We start from the raw sequence: 19,593 nt of genomic DNA on the forward strand, positions 1-19,593 counted from the left end.
GCAAAGATTTTGTCACCTGAGACTGCTGTTACTCTGAAAATGATAGCATTAACTTGTCTAATTCTGAGAAAGACATTTGTTAGCTAATGTAGACTATTAATAGAGCAAACATAAAACTGGTTGGGTATTAGCCTAGCAAGTATCTGACCAGAGCATTATGGCATTACTTAGATTACATAGATATTCAGTAAGATATTTCAGGTGTGATTTCTGCAGTGAATACAGTGTTTACACCAGAAAACAATGTCAGGAATCCTATAATGTAATAGGGAATATTATTCACCATAGTATATTAAAAGAGAACGGAGCCTTGCTGCTGAACCAATTTTGATCTCTTCCTTTGGTCTTCCTTCCTTCCTTGTTTCTCTCTTTCTTATTATTTCATAATGAAAAAAAAGAATGCTAGACTCAAATATTTACAGTGCTTTCAGAATTCAATAAAATGCATACATAAAAATGATTTTAATAGTACCTTGATACTGAAAATATTATCTAGCTACTTATCATTGTGGTCTGATTTTTAAATTTATTTCTCATCAGACACAATACAGAGCAATTCAGAGCAGGTAGAATTCTCCTGTCAGATGCTCACACACAACTTCAGTTGTGCCAGATTCTGCCCTCAGCAATGTGAGCAAACTTCAAACAGAAATGCACATGAATAGTTGAAGGAAAATGCTGGATCCCACCTGTTGCCTCTTCTGGGAAGTAATATGTCTATAATGTTTATAAATTTTAATAACCCATACAGCGCTTTATCTTTCAATATTAAATTTATATTTTCCTAAAGTTTGACTTCTTTGGGCAATATATTTTATTCTCTAGTATCTTAGAAAATCAATCTACTAATGTATGTCCATTAATAAATAAGTATGCTCTTATCAAGCAGTTATCAGCACATTTATAAAATTACATTGAAATCTTCATTTTAAATATGATGTTTTCTTCATCTAACTGAACGTGCTGTGATCTTTATTGAGGGCTGGAAACATATTTGTTGATTCTGACAAGGTGAATTGTATTCGTGTTTACCTTCTGCTCCCCAAGATTATAATTGAAATGAATTTTTCAAAATAGTTCCTTTTGATGAAGATCCCATACTGATGAAAGTTAAATGAACAGAAGTATTAGTTTGAAATAGATACACGAATGTAAGCCCAACTTATAAATTGATTCTAGTTGATAATATCAAGCTACGCCTGTAAACCTTCTGTTAGGTCTTAGAAACAATAAATACACCTCAATGCATGGACAATTGAAGGAAAAAAACCTTAACAAGTAAAACACAATTTTTACTCATTGGACTTGAGTTTACAAAATGTAAGGCCAGAGTTAGAGTTTATGGCTTTAGTGGACATTTTCTGGAACTCATTTTACTGTCACTCTCTAGTTTTGAAATAGTTTTTGGTAGAATTTTGGTGGGAAAAAAGGAAATACAAAGAAAGCAGTATTTGAATGATGACAGAGTCACATATTCTAAACCACACATTCTCACTCCTTTGATTTCAGTTTACAAGCATTGAGAAAGGAGAAATCCCGAGATGCTGCTCGCTCCCGCCGGGGAAAAGAAAACTTTGAGTTCTATGAATTGGCCAAGTTGTTGCCTCTTCCTGCAGCCATTACCAGCCAGCTCGACAAGGCATCCATCATTCGACTTACAATTAGCTATCTGAAAATGAGGGACTTTGCTAACCAGGGGGACCCTCCGTGGAACTTGCGAATGGAAGGCCCTCCACCTAACACATCAGTAAAAGGTAAGTTTTAGGTCACTGTTCAGTCTGAATATGATGGTCTGTAGGGGTCTGTAAGACAAAATGTTTACCATCATCCTTTCTTCTTTTCCTGCATATCAAATCCTTTAAAGGGATACAAATGTGGAAATCTGAACTCTGCATGAGAAAGACACCATGTGAAGGTGAAATAAACCTCTTATTTTTCTATTTTATTTTCAAAAAGTCTATCAGCCTAAAATTCTGTCACTTTATATAAGATTTCAGAGAAATGAAAATGAAATGACACATTAAAATGCTTCTTGGGTTTAATGTATGTTTTACCATTACATACAAATTCTTCTTCATGAGTGGGGTATGGACACATTTGTTAAAGCATAGAGCTGACATTTTCTGCCTTAAGTAACCAAAGAAAGGCAGGGAGCATAGCTCTTCCATCTTTAGCAGGCATTTTAAGTTAATGATTTTATTGACCAATGAAAATCAATCTATGTATTAGTGTTTCAATTTTCTCTATATACATATTACCTAAAAGTTGTAAATATAAACATATATTTTTTATTCAAATCCTTGATGCAGTTACTCTTACAACTTAGTATCTTTAAATGTTAGGTCTTTCTCACTCTGATGCCTAAGACAGGTATTTTCTTGTGTGTTCCTGAAATTCCTAATAATTTATGGCATTTTTGGCATTTAAATATGCATGGATATATTTATTTATGTATATGTGGTGTTGGCCATTGGTTTTCTGTCTTTAAGGGTATTCTATTCAAGGTGTATGGCCTAAATAATCTGCTAGGTTCTTATGTTCAAATCGTGTATCTAGACACTTTATAGCATGAAATAAAACTGGGCATTTGGAGGAGGTGCAGGCAACTTCCTCTAGGGAAGAATTAGCTTCTTTTGTTACATCTTGCCAACTACCTTTGGAAAAGTCCCTGTACTCTTGGCTATGATAGGAAAGGGTACTAGTCGGGAGCTGTAATCTTTTGTAGGATTCAGATTGAAATGAAGGGTCAAAAGCAGTTATTATTTACAATTTTGTGCTAAGAGCTGTGATCATATATGTGTCCGTGAGAGTGTAAATTTGTTACTTGGGGATTGTGTTATGCACATTAGAGGTGGAAAATGATAATTTAAATTGTAACAGGTTATTTTCTTCTAGAGCAACAGTTGGCAAACATTTTCTGTAAAGGGCCATGTAGTAAATATTTTAGGCTTAATGGGCTACTCAACTCTCCTGTTGTAGCATAAAATTAGCCATAGACAATATGTAAACAAAACAGCGTGGCTGTGTTCCAATAAAACTATATTTACAAAATAGGCAGCAGCCACAACATTTGTCCCATAGGCTATAGTTTGAAGACCACTGCTCTAGAGTGTAAGAATGACACTTAAAGATTGAGGAGAACACACAACAGAGGTACCTCTCAAGGACAGGATGTCAGTCAAAGGTAGCCCAGGAAAAATAAAGCAAGGCACATTCGAGTTGTCCTTTTACATCCCTTCTGCCCTTGAGCATGTAGATATCAATTCAATAACACACCAATTCATGTTCTAGATTGTATTATGCTATAAAAAACTACCCGAGAATGGATAAACAAAAAAGGTTTAATTGACACACAGTTCCGCATGGCTGGGGAGGCCTCAGGAAACTTACAATCATGGTAGAAGGCGAGGGGGAGGCAAAGAACGTCTTACATGGCAGCAGGAGAGAGAAAGAAAGAGACAGCAAAAGGGGAATTGCCACTTTTAAACCATCAGATCTCGTGAGAACTCACTATCACGAGATAGCATAAGGGAAACGGCCCCCATGATCCAGTCACCTCCCAGAAGCTCCCTTTCCTGACACGTGGGATTATTAATGCAATTAGAGACAAGATTTGGATTTGGATGGGGACGTAGAGCCAAACCACATTACAGATATTAGTACCAAATTTTTCCAAGCTAAAGATGTAAATATAATTGTGATAAATATACATTAGATACATTTTTTCCACTCTAGTTTGAGGCACAGGCTATCTTTATTCCAGATCACACAAGATGAAAGGATGAGGGTAACAGGTTAGGAACCATACCATGTGAAAAACATGTAATAATTATTCAAATATATAAGTTCGAAAAATATATTATTCAAATGAAATGATGGAATGGACCTGTATTTATTTAACATAACTCAGAAAATTTTTATTTGTTTACTTTCATTGTTAAAGGGGTTTGTAGTCAATAGGCTTTCTTGGCAGTCATGGCTACCAAAGTAGAAAAATGTGATGGTTCTGTTATTTGTCCATTTGTCTGTGATGTAGTAGTCCAGCTTACTTCCAGAATCATGGCCTTTTAGGCATGCGAATGTATAGATCACATGTCATTATTCCCTCATTTTATGAGGGATAGTTAGATGAGGCAAGTGTTAAGTGGAAACGACTTTGCAATTCAGCGTTAGCATATCTAAGGCAAGAATCCACTTTTCTTGCCTTCTGTCTAGTGCTCTATCACTTCTTGTCATTACTACAGATAATATTTGTTTTCTATCACCATCATCAGACGTTTTAGGTGAGAATTTTCTCAGCTTCAGACTGTTTCTAATACTTCATTTTTATTTTGTGGCCTTCAATTCCACTCTTTAACTTCTTAGTATGATTAAGATGTATAAAAAGAAGATAAAATGTGGTTGCTGCCCCCACGTTGTTGCAGTTTCTGGAATGGCATGGTAGTGTCACTGAGAAAAAACAGGGTGGTGAAGATGCATGTTTAGAAACCTGGAAGGAGATAACAGACTTTATTATATTTAAAATTCCATCCAGATGGTGGCAGAGCATCTAAGTTGGTACATATTCACTTTCACTATTAGTAAACTGGTGATAGGTTAGAAATAATGAAGATGTAAACATAGTGACTCCCTACTGTCTACCCCGGCTCTCAAAAGTAGCTAGAAATATAAGGAGCACTTTCTATAAACTGGTTCTACTGTAAAATATATGTACATTTTATTGCTTTACTCTAGTTCTTTAATGCAAAACTGCTATTCATTCTGATCAAACATTCATAAAACAATAACATCAAAAGAAATTCATTTTAATTTATTAAGGTCTTCTATGTTGTGCCCTTGAAGACGTTCATACGGATAAACAAGCTTATATAAATAGCCTGCAGCATCATGTGAAGTGCAGTTCATAATCCAGCAATAAAACGATAGACATTATACTTCATGCTTCTCCAAGCAATCTCTTGAATAAACCTAAAGGCATTTGGCAATTCGTATGAAATGTACTTACATTGTGGTGGCAACATTTTTTAATGTGATGAGTTGATCATGTTAATAATTAAATTTCAAAGCTTAAATTTAAATTTGTCCCACACAACTATATAGAAATTTAATCATTTTAATTTATGGCTTCAGAAAGGTCCTTTACTGTGCCCTGTGCAGTATTCATCACATGTTTTCTTAACAGTCCATAAAGGTTGATGAGTTTGTTTTGTGATTCCCATTGTATACAGATTATTACAAGTTATGCTTGCAGAAAGAACACTCAGGTGACAGTATGTAATATGTCCCAAGTCAATTACTTCATGGAAATGATAGGTTAAGCAATTGGAAGGTAACAGATAGTTTTTTCCCTTATTTTAGAAATATCTGTGTTGTTATAATACAGATCAAATCTACAATGAACATTATGCGTTATTCAAGAAATGACCAGGCATTCTCAGCAGTGTTTCAGCTAAATAACTGATGATTGTAACCTTTAAAGAAATCTCATTGTGGTGACTGTTGGTAAATCACTTCTCCATTCATAGTAATCTCTATTTAGAGGCTATCTAGAAACCATTATATCTTTTATTAATCTTTAAAGCAATAGCCACTGATTTGACATTTGCTAAAACTAGATAAATTTTCTGTCTTTCTAATATCACAGACTTCAGTCAATTTTAAGAGTCTGTCGTCTGCTGCAACTCTATTAATCTAGGAATATTTACCATTGCAGTCATAAGTTTTATTTCAATTTAAACATTGCAGCTTTTAAACAACAATTTGCCTATGTGTGTGACAGGTAACAATGCTAAAATATGTAAAGTATAAGAAATTCTTAGTCTTTGGAAAGGAACAGTTGAAAAATATGCAAGATATCTGGTGATTAAAATTGACTGAACACATTAGGGAAGAACTTTACTATTTCCATAGAATTTCCCTTCACTATTTCGGGCATCTATTGTGAATTAAGTAGGAGATGTTTCTGAGAGTAGAGACTTGCAGGCTTGTATTTAAGCAACATATTAGCTATCCCTAGCCAAAGACTAGACTCTTACTAAAGCAATGATGTTTAATGGATTTATTTTAAATCATCGTGTAGTGTAACTGAGTACAGGTCGTACTCAGAGTGACACTAAACTACTGTTATAATATTGTCCCCCAAAATTAGATAGCATTTTATAAAATGGATTCTGTTTCAATAGAAAGGTAGAGACTCCAAGACTGAGTGATAGGTCATCTTGGTCTAAGCAGTTCAGGGATTTTCCTGTTGCTGTTGTGGCATTTTCCTGTGTGCTGACATACATTTACTTCTACCAAGTGACATTCATGCTATGGGGCAAGGGTCATATTCCTCATTACTAAAAAACCATGTGAGATGAAAGTTCATAGAATCAGTACATGGCCATGGACACCCAGCCGATGACATTCTTTTGTCTTTTTGCACGGGTAAAGGGAAGAACCCAGACTGTACACCTTAGCTTCTGAGCAGGAGCCTCCTACAGGGCTAGACGAGTAGGGCAAAGATGGTAACTCAGTTCTTGCTTGACTCCTCTTCCTACCTCCATCATCCTCAGCAGACTGAGGAACAGACTCCCTGCTCTGATCTCTACTTCTGTTTTGTCCCAATCCATAGTAGGTGGTGGGTACCCAGTGGAAACAGAACAATTCAGAGGCTGAGCTGCCAGTGTTCGTTGTTGTTTATTTTGGGAGTGAGTGCCAGGTTTTACTAGGACATGGAAATGTGATGTATTTGCCTTTACTTAGGTATGCTTCCAGGAAGGCTTTTTAATTATATGCTGTTATACTTTTGTATATTTCTAATGAAGTTATGACTTCATTTAAGGAGCTCATTTAAGAACTAACCTTTTATCTTACTTTATTTTACATCATGATAGGACAAGCAATGTTTATATCACCGCATTTCCCAAGGACTATCATCTTTGACACTGGGCAGGAAGGGCTTTCTGACAATTGCAGGCTAAATGATGAGAGAGTATGTCTCTGAGACTCTAATTCTTTGGAGTTTTACACTTTTTCATGAAAAGCTTTGGTGACTACAAAGGTGAACTCTTGATCATTGAATTATTATCTAACTCAGCATGAAAAATATTATATATAGCATTGCTGGTATCTTGCTGCATGCCACTGTTCAAGAGTTTGGCTTGTCACTATTGTTTTCAGTGCATCTGGTACAACGGAGCATTCAGGATTACCCTCAGCTCCAGACAGTGACTTGAAGAAAGCATATTTTTGAGAGTGATGGCTGAGAATATGTGAATATTCAGGTGTCCTTGTCAACTATTGCCAGAGAACAAGCAATCACAACATCTAAGTGGCACACAACAACAAGCTTTTACTCATGGAGCTGCGGTTAGGCTGCGAATTGGCAAGTCTAGACTGGGCTCAGCGGGTGCCTCTGCTTTGTGCTACAGCTCTGGCTGGGCTTGGCTCCTTGCTGGGGGTTCAGCCTAGCTCTGTCCCATGTTAGAAGGCAGCACCTATTTGGAAGTAGTTCTTTCATGCTGATGGAGGCAAAGGTGTAAGAAGGGTGAACAAAAACAAGCAATGTCTCTTAATGGTGTGGCTCAGAACTGTCATGGTGTCATTTCTGTTCAGTCGTTAGGTCAGAGCAGATCACGTGGCACAGACCAAAGTCAAGGGGCAGGGAAGCACATTGCACCTCTACTGGGAGATACTGCAAAGAAACATGGCCAATTTCACAGATAGAAGATGAAGAACATGAATCTGTAATTTAATTTACCTTATCCAGAGTAGTACTTGTGTATTGTTTTTATCTGTAGTTTTTGTTTGCCCAAAAGCAGAAGTGGGCTCGGCATGGTGGCTCGTGCCTATAATCCCAGAACTTTGGGAAGCTGCGGTGAGAGGATTCCTTGAGCCCAGGAGTTTGAGGTTACAATGAGCTATGATTGCACCACTGCCTAGAGGGAGAGCTTGTCTCTAAAATTTTTTTTAAAAGGAGAAGTAGAAATGAGGATTTTTTTTGTGGAGACTTTGGAAATGTGGGCAAAAGAGTACAGATGTGCTCTTTTGCATTATGCATTAAGATTAATCAACCTCTTTCTATCGCCACTATTACCTTATTTTCCTGTAGCAACATTGAGTGGTAAAACCCATCCATTTCTGCCTTTGACTATGTCATCATCTGACTGGATTGCTCTTTTCCTTTGTAGGGGTAAAAGTGTAATAACTTTTCCTCGCCTATCACAAGGGTCATGGCTGAAACTTCCATAACAAAAGACAGGTTATCAAGAAAAAATTTATTTAATCAAAATTTTACATCACATGGGAGCGCTCAGAAATGAAGACCCAGAGACCCAGGGAGAAGTGCATATTCTTAAGCTTAGGTTCGATGAAGAATGGACAGCTGTGTAGAAATATGACTGGACAAAAAAGGCATGATGTAATGATAATAACTTGAGGGGAATTCCAACAAGTCCTGTGTGTTCAGATTTTTCTTGGCCTCTCTGTGTAGCATTTCTTCCTCTGGGCATAGGGCATGACACTTGTCATGTAAGGGTCTTCAGGGAGGAGAAGAGAGGGTCAGATAGTCTTCCTAGATTTTATGGCTTGCTTTGGGGTACAGCAGTTCTATCGTGCATGATGCACCTTCAGGAGGAAATAGGGGAAGGAGAAAGGAAGGAAAAAGAAGGAGGTCAGAGAGAATATCTTTTTACGCCCTTCCAGTCTCCTTCAGTTCAAAGTATTCAGCTTGTCAAAATGCCATACTTCACAGTATCACATTCTGAGACCCAACACCTTCTATTGGGTTTGCTTGAACTCCTATTCAGCATTCACATCCCAGCTCAGATGTCACTCTCTTGTGCAAATCTCTGCTTCCCCAGAGCATTAGTAATTTCTTTCTTTAGGGTATTGTTACATTATTCTGTTGGTTTGTTATCAACTTAAATAGCAATTTGTTTCTTTACATGCCTGTCTCTGTATTGAGACTATGAGCTTATTGAGGCAATAGCCTGGGTCATCTTATTCCTTTTTATATCTCCAGAACCTTGTACAATACCTATGAAAGTAAGTATTTAACTATGTTTTAAGTTGAATTGTGTAGAATTGAATTATATCTTGGGATTACTATTAGCGGAGTTATATAGTACTGATAAGAACTATGGGTGAGTTTAAATCATAAACTAGGGAGATGCAAAAGAAGAGTAAAACAAGGAAGAGTAGAAGAAAAATGGAGGGAGAATGATGGGAATAATGTGAAAACAAAGGGAAATTATGCAGGACATGGAGTAGGCGCTAGAAGCAGGTGTGGCTCCCTGGGATGAGCTGCTAGTCCCTGCCCTGTGGTAGGGTTCCCCCATCAACGTGGTTCTCCGTGTGGATGTACATGCAGAGGAGGCGCAGGTTAAAAACTGTAGTCTCAGTCCCAGCACTTTGGGAGGCTGAAGCAGGTGGATCACCTGAGATCAGGAGTTCGAGACCAGCCTGGCCAACATGGTGAAACTCCATCTCTACTAAAAAATACAAAAATTAGCCAGGTGTCGTGGCAAGTGCCTGTAATCCCAGCTACTCCGGAAGCTGAGGCAGGAGAATCGCTTGAACGTGGGAGGCAGGGGTTGCAATGAGCCGAGACTGCGCCTCTTCATTCCAGCCTGGACAACAAGAGTGAGACTCCATGTCAAAAGCAAAACAAAACTGTAGTCTCAAGAAAACCATGAGTATTCTGGGTGTGTGAACTGGAGTCCGTTGAACAAATACCTGAGTATCTTCTCTTAGTAAGTCAGTCCTCTAAGTCCTTTGCCTTGGAGATATTTATAATTCATAGAGAAATGAATGTGCAATACATAATGGTATGACAGCTTTCAAGAAAATTAAACATACCATGTGACTGGTGTCATAAAGCCCTCTCTAGACCTCAGTTTTCTTTTTGTCAGTGATTCTGGTCTGAATGATTACTTACTGTCTAATCCAAAGTCCCAATTCCTCAGAAAGGATTTAGCGATTATTGTCCTAAATTAGACTATTTGAGACTAATAGTCTTCCTTGGACTATATGGTTTCTTGAAGCCGTTTATTAATAATTTCAAAAGCCACATACCCTAACTCTTAATATTTTGCTAATATTTCTATTTTCCTTTTCTTTTACTTAATTCCCCTGTACATGGAGGTACCATATCTCCCTTCTATGTGTTCAAAAATGTATGGCAAAAAAAAAAATTTTTTTTTGTTTGTATTTTCAATATTTGAGCATGTGTAATCATTATAAATAAGACAGGAGAGTAAGATAGCACATAATGAAGTTTTAAAGAAATCAAGTACAAAATATATGATAAAGATAAAATAAGAACCTAGCACTTCATATACTTTTTCTTTGCATTTACTCTCTTGAGAAAACTTTAGGGAACACACTTATATTCTATATCACATCCAACTTATTTTAAAAAGTCTACCAGTTCTTGATAATGTAATATTTTAGTCATGACATCTTGTGGTTTTGCATTATACTGCACTGTACTCACTTATTTGGGACTTTCAAGTTTATGTGCTCTGTTCTTTAGGACTGGAATTCTTTAACGTGTTTTTGTTAGCCTTATCACCTCTTGCAAAGCACAATATATAGTTCCAGTGCTCTGCAGATGATAATATTTCATAAGCATAGCAAAGAAGGACTCACCTCTGACTGCTTTATATGATTGAAATTGTACTGTGGCTTTAATTTTCAGAAATGGCTTTCTGGATACTGTGCATAAGTCTTAGCTCTGCCTTAATAAACAGGTGACCTCCACCTGTGAAAACTAATGTGTCTTTGAATATTGATTGACTGCAGCTTTTCAGATCCTTTCTGGGTCCATAGTATGTTAGTAAATGTCAGAACCTCAGCATTCTAAAGGAAGGCCAATAGATATTTTTTTTGTTAAAAGACCAGATTGCCTGGTCTTTTAACAAAGTCAGTTACAGAGTTGGAACTAGAATTTGGGCCTCTGTGATCCTAGTTTAGAACATTTTCTTCCATAATAAAGAGACTTTTCTCTCTATGTTCCGCTACTTACGATTGGAATCCCTTTTCCCCATTTACATTATATGTGAACATTTATCCACAAATCTAGCTCATGTTAGACCCTGGCCCATTTTAGAGCAAATGATAACATTTTATCATGTTATGATTCTATGAAATCACAACATGATTCTATGAAAAGAATAATTCTATGAAAAGAATAATTTTAAGAAGGCATTAGGAAACTGGCTGAAGCATAGATGGGACCTTTCTGTAGTGTCTTTGCATCAGTACACGAAATTCTCTATAAATCTAAAAGTGTTTCAAAATAAAAAGTTTTATTTTAAAAAAATCACTAGAATTCACTCTGATGATAGAAACATTAGAAAAACAAGCCTCTGTCCAAATGGAAACTTGTTATTTCCCACTTTCCTGCCTTTCTAACTGGTCAATATTGAGTCCCCAAATGCTCAACATTCTAAAGTGCTTCATGGCTGATTGTATTAGGAAACGTGATTAACTGACAGTTACAATATCAATCAATGGAAATGGAAGGGAGGAAATTGGTTAGTCTGTTTACATAGTTTGCTTAAGACTTTATAACTGAACTATTGCCATAGAGAGTCATACATAAGTTTTCTTTAAAATTTATAAATTATTTCCATTTAAGAGTCATACATGAGCACAGGTGCTCTGGTTAGTCTCCTTCTTTTTCTTGTGAAGGTTATGACTAGTATTACATTTTCTATTCTTCCAGTCTTGGTCAAAGAGTGCCTAAAAGGCAAGGTTAGAAAGCCAAGACAAAACCTAGTTATAGAGTTCTATAACAGGAGTCAGCCAACGTTTTCTGTAAAGGATCAGATAGTAAATAATTTAGCTGTTGTTGGCCATAAGGTCTCTGCTGCAACTGCTCAGCCCTACTTTTATAGTGCAAAAGTAGCTATATAGACAAGCTGTAATGGAATGCATTTGGCTGTTTTAATAAAACTTTATTTGTGGACATTGAAATCAAATTATGACATGTCATGAAATATTATTCTTAAGAGTTTTTTTCAACTATTTAAAAAATTAAAACAACAAGGACAATGCATTCTTAGCTTGTGGGTGGTACAGAAACAGGTGGCAGGCTAGATTAGACCTGCATGCATGCCATAGATAGCCAACTCCTGTTGGGACCATTAGAACTGGAGGTGGACTTAGGTACCTATTTTAGAAACCATTATGGTAGAAAGCATACTTTGAGTTGTAAAAGGTCGATTCTTGTATTTGTTTAAAACATATTGCAACAACAATGAATGGCCAGAAATATGTTTTTTAAAAAAATTATCTTCAGTGCTAATGTATGTACATAAGTCTATTTGTCATGATGGCTGTCATGACTAAATTATGTACCAGCCAGGAGTGTGATGTTGGCATGTTTCAATAGCTATCCATAGATGTATATGCATTGTGTATGTCACCGAAAAAATTAAGTGAAAAGTCATATTAAGTCAGTGGTATCATTTGGCTTATTACTTTTGGCAGCTTTCTCACTTTAATATAGCAAATGATCCAGACTAAGGCTATTCACATAGTCTTTTTAAATGCATGATCTTAATGAAGAGAAGCATGATGAAAACATTGTCTACACAGGACTATTGTTTGGTCATTTTGACGTGGCTAATCAAACAACTGATCAGTTTAGGTTAATTAATAGTTTTGATTTATTTTTCCACATAATTTATTAGTTGTCTTCCTGATCCAACTGATGGTTTAAAGTATGTTGTGACTGTAACCATCATTAAAAATCATTAGAAATAAGATGTTTGAGATCTGTGTATTTAGTGGTATTATTATCAGCAATACAATGAATAAAATTGGTAAATCTAACCTAGTTTTTTGCGGGTAAAATTTAACATATCTCCAAAACCAATGTCTATATAAAATGAATAAATGTGGCTAAATTATATAACATAATATAATTTTCATAACTTACACTCAAGAAACCAAATACAGTTGCTAGGAAATAGCTCCTGTGGTCTTCTGCTGTTGCCCATTGGGAGCAGTCAGTCACCAGGTATTGGCTGAGTGCTCCAAGGGTGAATGCTACCGTACTAAGTGCTTGAAAGACACTAAAATTCAGTGAGTTCATAGGAATAACTTCCCAAAGCACTACAGATACTTAAATTTCAGTAATGTTTTGTAATTAAAGCATATTATTTACGTATAATTTTACAGTTTGGGAAATAAGACTGTTGAATATCAGCACTGATGATAAAAACAGACTGTGTACACAGTTTGGGTTTTATATAAATACTTTAAAATATTGGCTTTCTTCTATAAAAATAGATGAATACTATCCAGGTTTTTACAAGAATTTTAGCATAAAAGCAAAATTGCTATTATTTTCCATTTTGAAAAGAGGCATGAAGATAACATTAAAAAATATGTAAAATGCAGTATGTCCTAGAGACATATGAAAGGAAGCAGGGATGTTGATGCAGGTAAGCCTCATTTTGGATGTTCTCAGGGACGTTTGTAAAGTGGTGCAGTGATATTTGCTTAGCTGACACCTGACCTAAAGTGCTTTTCATTATATCTTCTATGGATACTGAGCTCCTGAAGTTGCAGAAAAATCTGTAACAAGTTGTTCAGCCTCTGCTATGTTGTGATTCACATCTGGTAGGCAATCAGACTCAACCTCCTTGTTGTGAGTCAGTGACTGAATTTGTTGCTATACGAACAACTCCAATTGGAAAACTAAAATAATACTTTTACTGAGATTAGAAAAGGGGACTCTTGCTAGGGTGTCTTAGTTTGGACTGCTATAACAGAATACTATAGATGGATTGGCTTAAACAACATTTGAAAAAAAAATTTCTCACAGTCTGGAGGCTGGAAATCCAAGATCAAGGTACCAGCATGGTGAGGTTCTTCGTGAAGGCTATCCTCCTGGGTCACATAGCCATTTTCTTGTCATATCCGTACAAGATGGAAAGAGAAAGAAAGATTATGTCTCCTGTGTCTCTAATCTCATTCATGAGGGTTCCGCCCTCTGTGACAATTACCTCCCAATGATTCCACCTCCAAGTACCATCACAATGGGGATTTTGACTTTCAACATTTGGATTTTAGGAGGGGACACAAACATTCAGTTCATAACACAAGGAGTTCTAACAACCTGTAATAAAGGTACAGTTCATGTATCCCAGGCTAGAGAATCCAGCAAAATGTAGGAATGCAGTGAAAATTAATCATCCCGGTCATTTTAATGTATCTTCAGAATGGCTTATTGGTAGTAAGGTTTTCTGGTCAGTGGAGTTGAACACTCCTGAGTTCAAATCTTTGGGACTGTGAACACATTTTTTTGCTTCAGTTTTCTTGACTGAAAAAAATGGCATAGTTGGACCTGTGAACCCAGCTTGTCTATACCGTCTACTGCAGTGAGCTGAGATTGTGTTGGGAGGCTTATATTCACATAGGAACTTTCAAAGGTATATTAGGATTCCCGTTTGTGATTTTTAGTACACATTCTAATTAGGGCTTTTGTTTTTAAGATTATGGTTTTAAAATGATATTAATCAGAAGGAAGAGGTAGCTCAACATGCACAGTTTTTTGGGGGAATTCTAGCATGTAAAAAGTCTTAACTTGTATCATTTGATAAAGTGGAGGATATTTGAAGCATTTCTTAGATGATGGGTGATTTGGGTGTGTTTTGGCAGCTTGATGTTTAATACTTAACGAGACATGTAGAAGTTGATTTTATAAACTGTTAATGTAGATATTTCATTGAGTTGATAGGAAAACAAAAAAATTCTTAAAATATACTGCATCTGAAAGGAAAGGCCAATTTGCTGAAACAGTGAATAGAGCTGACATTTCCTTTCTCAGAATTTTGGCTTAATAGATATAATCTTATAGTAGGTTTTAAGATATCAATTTTTTGTTGTCATCAGGGATCCGAAATGGGTTATTTTCTCCTTTAATTTACTCACCTATTCATCCTCTAAATATTTGAATATTTATTATATTGCAAGACTCTGTACTAGGCTCTCTGGGGGATGCAAAGTGGGGGAAAAAAGCGAACCATCTCCTCTAGGAGTTTATAAGCCACTAGGAGGGAGTGACGCATTCTCACCAAATAATAAAGTAGGGTATTATTCATGTTGAAAGAGGTTTAAGCAGACAAAGTACTGTGGGATCCAGGATGATTAACGCGAAAGGAGAAAAAGACGGTAGTCCTTATTACAGTTTTAAATAGGTGATCATAATGAATATGTATACAGTACTTTCAAAATAAAATATCGTATTATTTTCCAAGTAAATTATTTTTTGAACCTCTACTTTGAAGTATTTGCCAGGTCTATATTTTAGATATCCGTTGGTGTTGGGGAATTTATTATGCATAAATATAGTTAAATATTTGAATGTGATGACATTTAATGAGAATTGTGGCCCTCCAGATGTAAGGTAAACTCACGATGGTTTTTCCTCTCAGAAAAGTATTTTAAACAGGATACCCAATGCCATGTAGAACACAGACTACTCATGCATATCTCTGTTATCTGAATATACTTACCAAACAACTAAAGGCATGAATCACATACCATACTTATAAACAAGAGCTTAATCAAACATACTCTTTTAGTATCTTCTCTCTGATAGCTTTGCTTTTCATAGAGATGGAAAGAGAGAAGTTTGAATGAAGTGTATTTTTAAGTTGTGAAATCTTAATGTATGTAGTTTGTAGAAAATCCCTTGGCATCTAAGACCTGAATATAGAAAGATCAAAAGAGTAGCTATCATCCAGGGAGCCGGGAAGTCGAGTGGCCACAGTTCAAGCCTGCTACTGAGGCAGGGCTCAGAGTCACGTGCTCACCTTCCCGCCCGCTCACATGCATCTCACTTAAAGCCTGTATTTGCGAGGGAAGACTAGACGGTGCGAAAGAGCATGTTTTGTACTTTTATTTCATTTAAATTAGCACAAAGGGAGGGAACAATTTTGCTTCACATGTGAAGTCAGTCATTTCTTGGGTTGCTAGCTCAATGTTTTAGCAGAACAGCTGTTCTGTACAATGTGGCTTTCTGCAAGCAATATTTCTACTGCTAGAAAAGTGGCAGTCTGCCAAAGAGAGTGCCCAGACCAACCCCTAAACAAAAAAATCTTTTGTCAACGACTCTAATAATTTGTACAATTCAGGAAAGGGGGGTTGCACAGTCTTTGCAGATGTGCATTTATGATGCTATTTTTAAGCAGAGCAGCATGAAAGAATAGATTCATACGAATTGTAAGTTGATCATTCATTTTAAGCATTTGGCTTCTGCTCCTGCTAAAATTTCATTCTGTGGAACGAAAACACAGCCAGCCCTGAAACGAGGTAAGGCAGGGTGTGACAAGATGAAATTCTTCATTTTCAGACCTGTGATGCCTGCTGAAAAACAGAAAGCTTTGGGGTCTTTCTCCCCAGCTAAAGAGATAAATGCAGTTTGCTGATCCCCTCACAGCAGAAACTTGTTATCCTTCAGCATTTTGAGGAAATAAACTCTTAATGAGCCTGCATTCTTTTACAGCAGTCCATTCTCTGAAAATGAGTTTAAGTGCTGAAGGAAATGCCAGAAGCGTTTACACAACCAGCGCCAAACTATTATGTGTTAATTCTCTGTAGTTTAACATCATAGACACCATGCAGTTTTTCTGGTATCAAAACCTGGTCTGTTTTCAGATCTGTCCTCTGTGCTCTGGCTATCCCAAATCTACAGCAACAGACTCTGCTAGCTTTGAACCCACGGATGGAGTTAAGAAAATAAGATGATTTCCATAAATTAAAGACCCTTGGAAAGAACACTCAAACTTCTACTAACAGCAGAGGATAAAATCTGATAGAATCCTCATCTTTTATTTTTATTCAACAGTACACCTAATATTTACATAAAAGAGAATTACATCTACTCTAGATTATTAAAATATGAAATCATATACTCCAAAATGACATAACATTTAATACAGACTTATTCTATAAGGGTGACACGGAGCAGAGAAGACCATAGAGTATTTTAAGAGAACACAGTAAAGTGAACTGTAGAATGTTCACTGCCTTGATCAAAGGCTTTCTCTAATTCTGAGTTGGGACTTTTGTTATTCTTATTTTTCTTTTAAAATATACGTTCTTTTCATATTCTGAATAGGTGTGAAAAATGCTCAATTAAATGGAGTAAATGTCGTATTAAACCAGGGGTATTTTTGCTCCAGTCAGAATGCAAACCACTTATGTTCATTTTCTCTGTCCCCTGAAACTGTTACCTTTTATGTATACTAATGAAAAACACAAACCGTGATTGTGGGAAGTTGCTAAAATTGCATTATTTCACTCTACCAATGCAGATACGCTTCTAAAGATAGTCATTCAGGTGACCTGCTAGATCATACTTCATTGTTACTCAAGTGTTCTTCAAATATTCCTTCAGTTTAATAAGGATTTACACTGAAAATTACAATTCTGTTTGCTCGTGCAAGCTTGCCAGTGCAGGGTTACTACACTTTGTGAAATGACAAGTCCTGGACAATTGTTTATAAAATATTTTATAAGTTCATAAAAATCACAGTTTTTATATATCAGAGAAATTCTCTTATGTAAAGGATTTCTATAGCAATTTGTATTTTGTAAAATCAGTTATTTTGCTAAAGCAATTGATGACTCCCCTCAAATATATATTTTAGGTTCATATTTTTAACGTTTAATTTTTCTTAAAGTAATGGAATGAAAAATCTATAAACAATAAATTTGGGCTGTTGATTTGTATTTAATAGCTATATATTCCAGGAAAATATTGGAGACACAAAATTATTCATGTTATATTCCTGTGAATTTGCTTGAGCCAGGTATGACTTTTTGGTTTAGAGCCTACACTTCTTTAATGTTCTAGTATGGTGATCTATGATCATTCTTTACACTTACACATTACCGTTTCTAAAAATCATAGAATTCACATGCTGCTCTTTATAGCAATTTTAATATTAATTGGGTAGAAAAACATGCAAAGATACTACACATCATTACATTTCATTTCTTATAAAACCTCATGAGATGAGCATCATTTTTCTTTCTCGTATGTAGAACTCTCTTTTAATTATTCCTGTTCTTTATGTGCAAAAGATATCTAAGTAAGGGGGAAAAGAAGGGGTGTTCAAAGACTCTTTAAGTAAACTTAGATGCTTTGTATATTGACCAGTTTTTCCAAATGAAATGCATTCACTTTGGCCCTTGACGTAGGCAAATGGTTCAAGAAGCTCAAATCCATTCATACTAGCCTCTGTGCAAAAAGCAAGAAAAACTCAAAAATCATTTTCTATAAATGCTTATCTATTACAATTCATGTAGATAGTCCTATAGAGAGAATTGGTATGTATTTCATAATAATACCATGTAGTCTTATCAACCATTAGGTAATGATTACATTTCAGCACATTCTAGCCAGAACCCCCCAAAATAGATTGAGTGACAGTAGCAAGAAGACAGTTGCTTAGATTGCGGATCCAGCTGATGTCAGTAGTATTGTTTTTGTTAGCTTGTGAGTAAACTCCACAAGAAGAAAACATTCAGATCCAGTCCATAAACTTCTCTCTAGACATAACCAAGTTGCTGGGCCAGCGTGGACTCAGATTAAGAGTGTGGGTGCTTTGGACGGATTCATCCCCACAACAGAGCTTGTTTCCTTTGTTTAACAAGTACTAAACTACACTTGCACACTTCATCACTCACTCTTAGTTGTTTATATGTTGAAACCATATTATGAGATCATACTTTCTGAATACACTCAATCTGTTTTTCATAATTTGACATTCTACTGTGGAACAGTGAGATGACTTGCGCAGTGTTAAGTAGTGTCAGGTTTATAATCTCCCAATATCTTTAGTTCTTTACTGAATTCATTCCCTTCTTCTGCGTTGCTCTCTCTTTTGAATTATGTTTGTGGCAAACCTCACCCTTCCTGTGATTAATGGGTGTTAAAACAGTGAAATCGGAGTTCTCAGATTTTGTTCTACAATCACTTCCCTTAGCTTTCGTCTACTTCTACAATACTATTCTTTTCCCCTTCTCTATTTGTTCCCTATTTAAATGAGTCCTATAAGTTACTACATTTCATGGTCTTGTTCAAAGAATTGCAGAGCAAAATTGTCGAACAGTAGTAACATTTTAAATAATGATTAAGCAATGCACAGAAAAGCAGCCAGTGCAAAGCAGATATTTAAGTACAGGTTTCTCAGAGACATTACAATTTCACTTTAGTTTCTAGGGCGAGTAGTGCTGGATGGTGGATTTAGGGGCGGAAGAAAACTGCCCATTGCATTGTAGGCCACTTATACCCCATATGTATAACAAACCTTACATCCAAATCACTTATATGCTATGGATCTCTCTGCTGATGTTAGTCATCTGATTTGCAGAGAACTAGAACTAATAACCTTTTCAAATGTTATCAAATGATGACAAATCAAATTACTTAAATGATGACTGATCAAGTATTTGATATTTTAATTTTGAATGAATCTACCTCAAGGACTTGATATTTCCCTTAGTTTGAGTAAAGACCACAAATGCTAAACAGTCACATAGTTCATAAATTTCACAAACAATGAACCCCGAATGCTATAAATTAAC

The 19,593-nt window shown here is 36.0% G+C and overlaps 1 protein-coding gene across 19 annotated transcripts in view; it reads left to right on the forward strand.

Moving 5' to 3' along the window:
- NPAS3 (neuronal PAS domain protein 3) overlaps positions 1 to 19,593 on the forward strand; it is an 869,389-nt gene that overhangs the window by 278,888 nt on the left and 570,908 nt on the right. For 12 of the 19 annotated variants that reach the window (XM_005267991.4, XM_011537069.3, XM_017021585.2 and 9 more), the window contains one exon: positions 1,510 to 1,754. In XM_005267991.4, the coding sequence (XP_005268048.2) occupies positions 1,510 to 1,754 (245 nt within the window). Of the gene's footprint in view, positions 1 to 1,509; positions 1,755 to 1,864; positions 1,916 to 19,593 lie in introns of all 19 variants that reach the window. The other 7 variants (XM_017021582.2, XM_017021583.2, XM_047431678.1 and 4 more) reach the window with 1 other exon arrangement.

The sequence above is a fragment of the Homo sapiens genome, chromosome 14 (genome assembly GCF_000001405.40).
Source record: "Homo sapiens chromosome 14, GRCh38.p14 Primary Assembly".
Classification (NCBI taxonomy): Eukaryota; Metazoa; Chordata; class Mammalia; order Primates; family Hominidae; genus Homo; species Homo sapiens.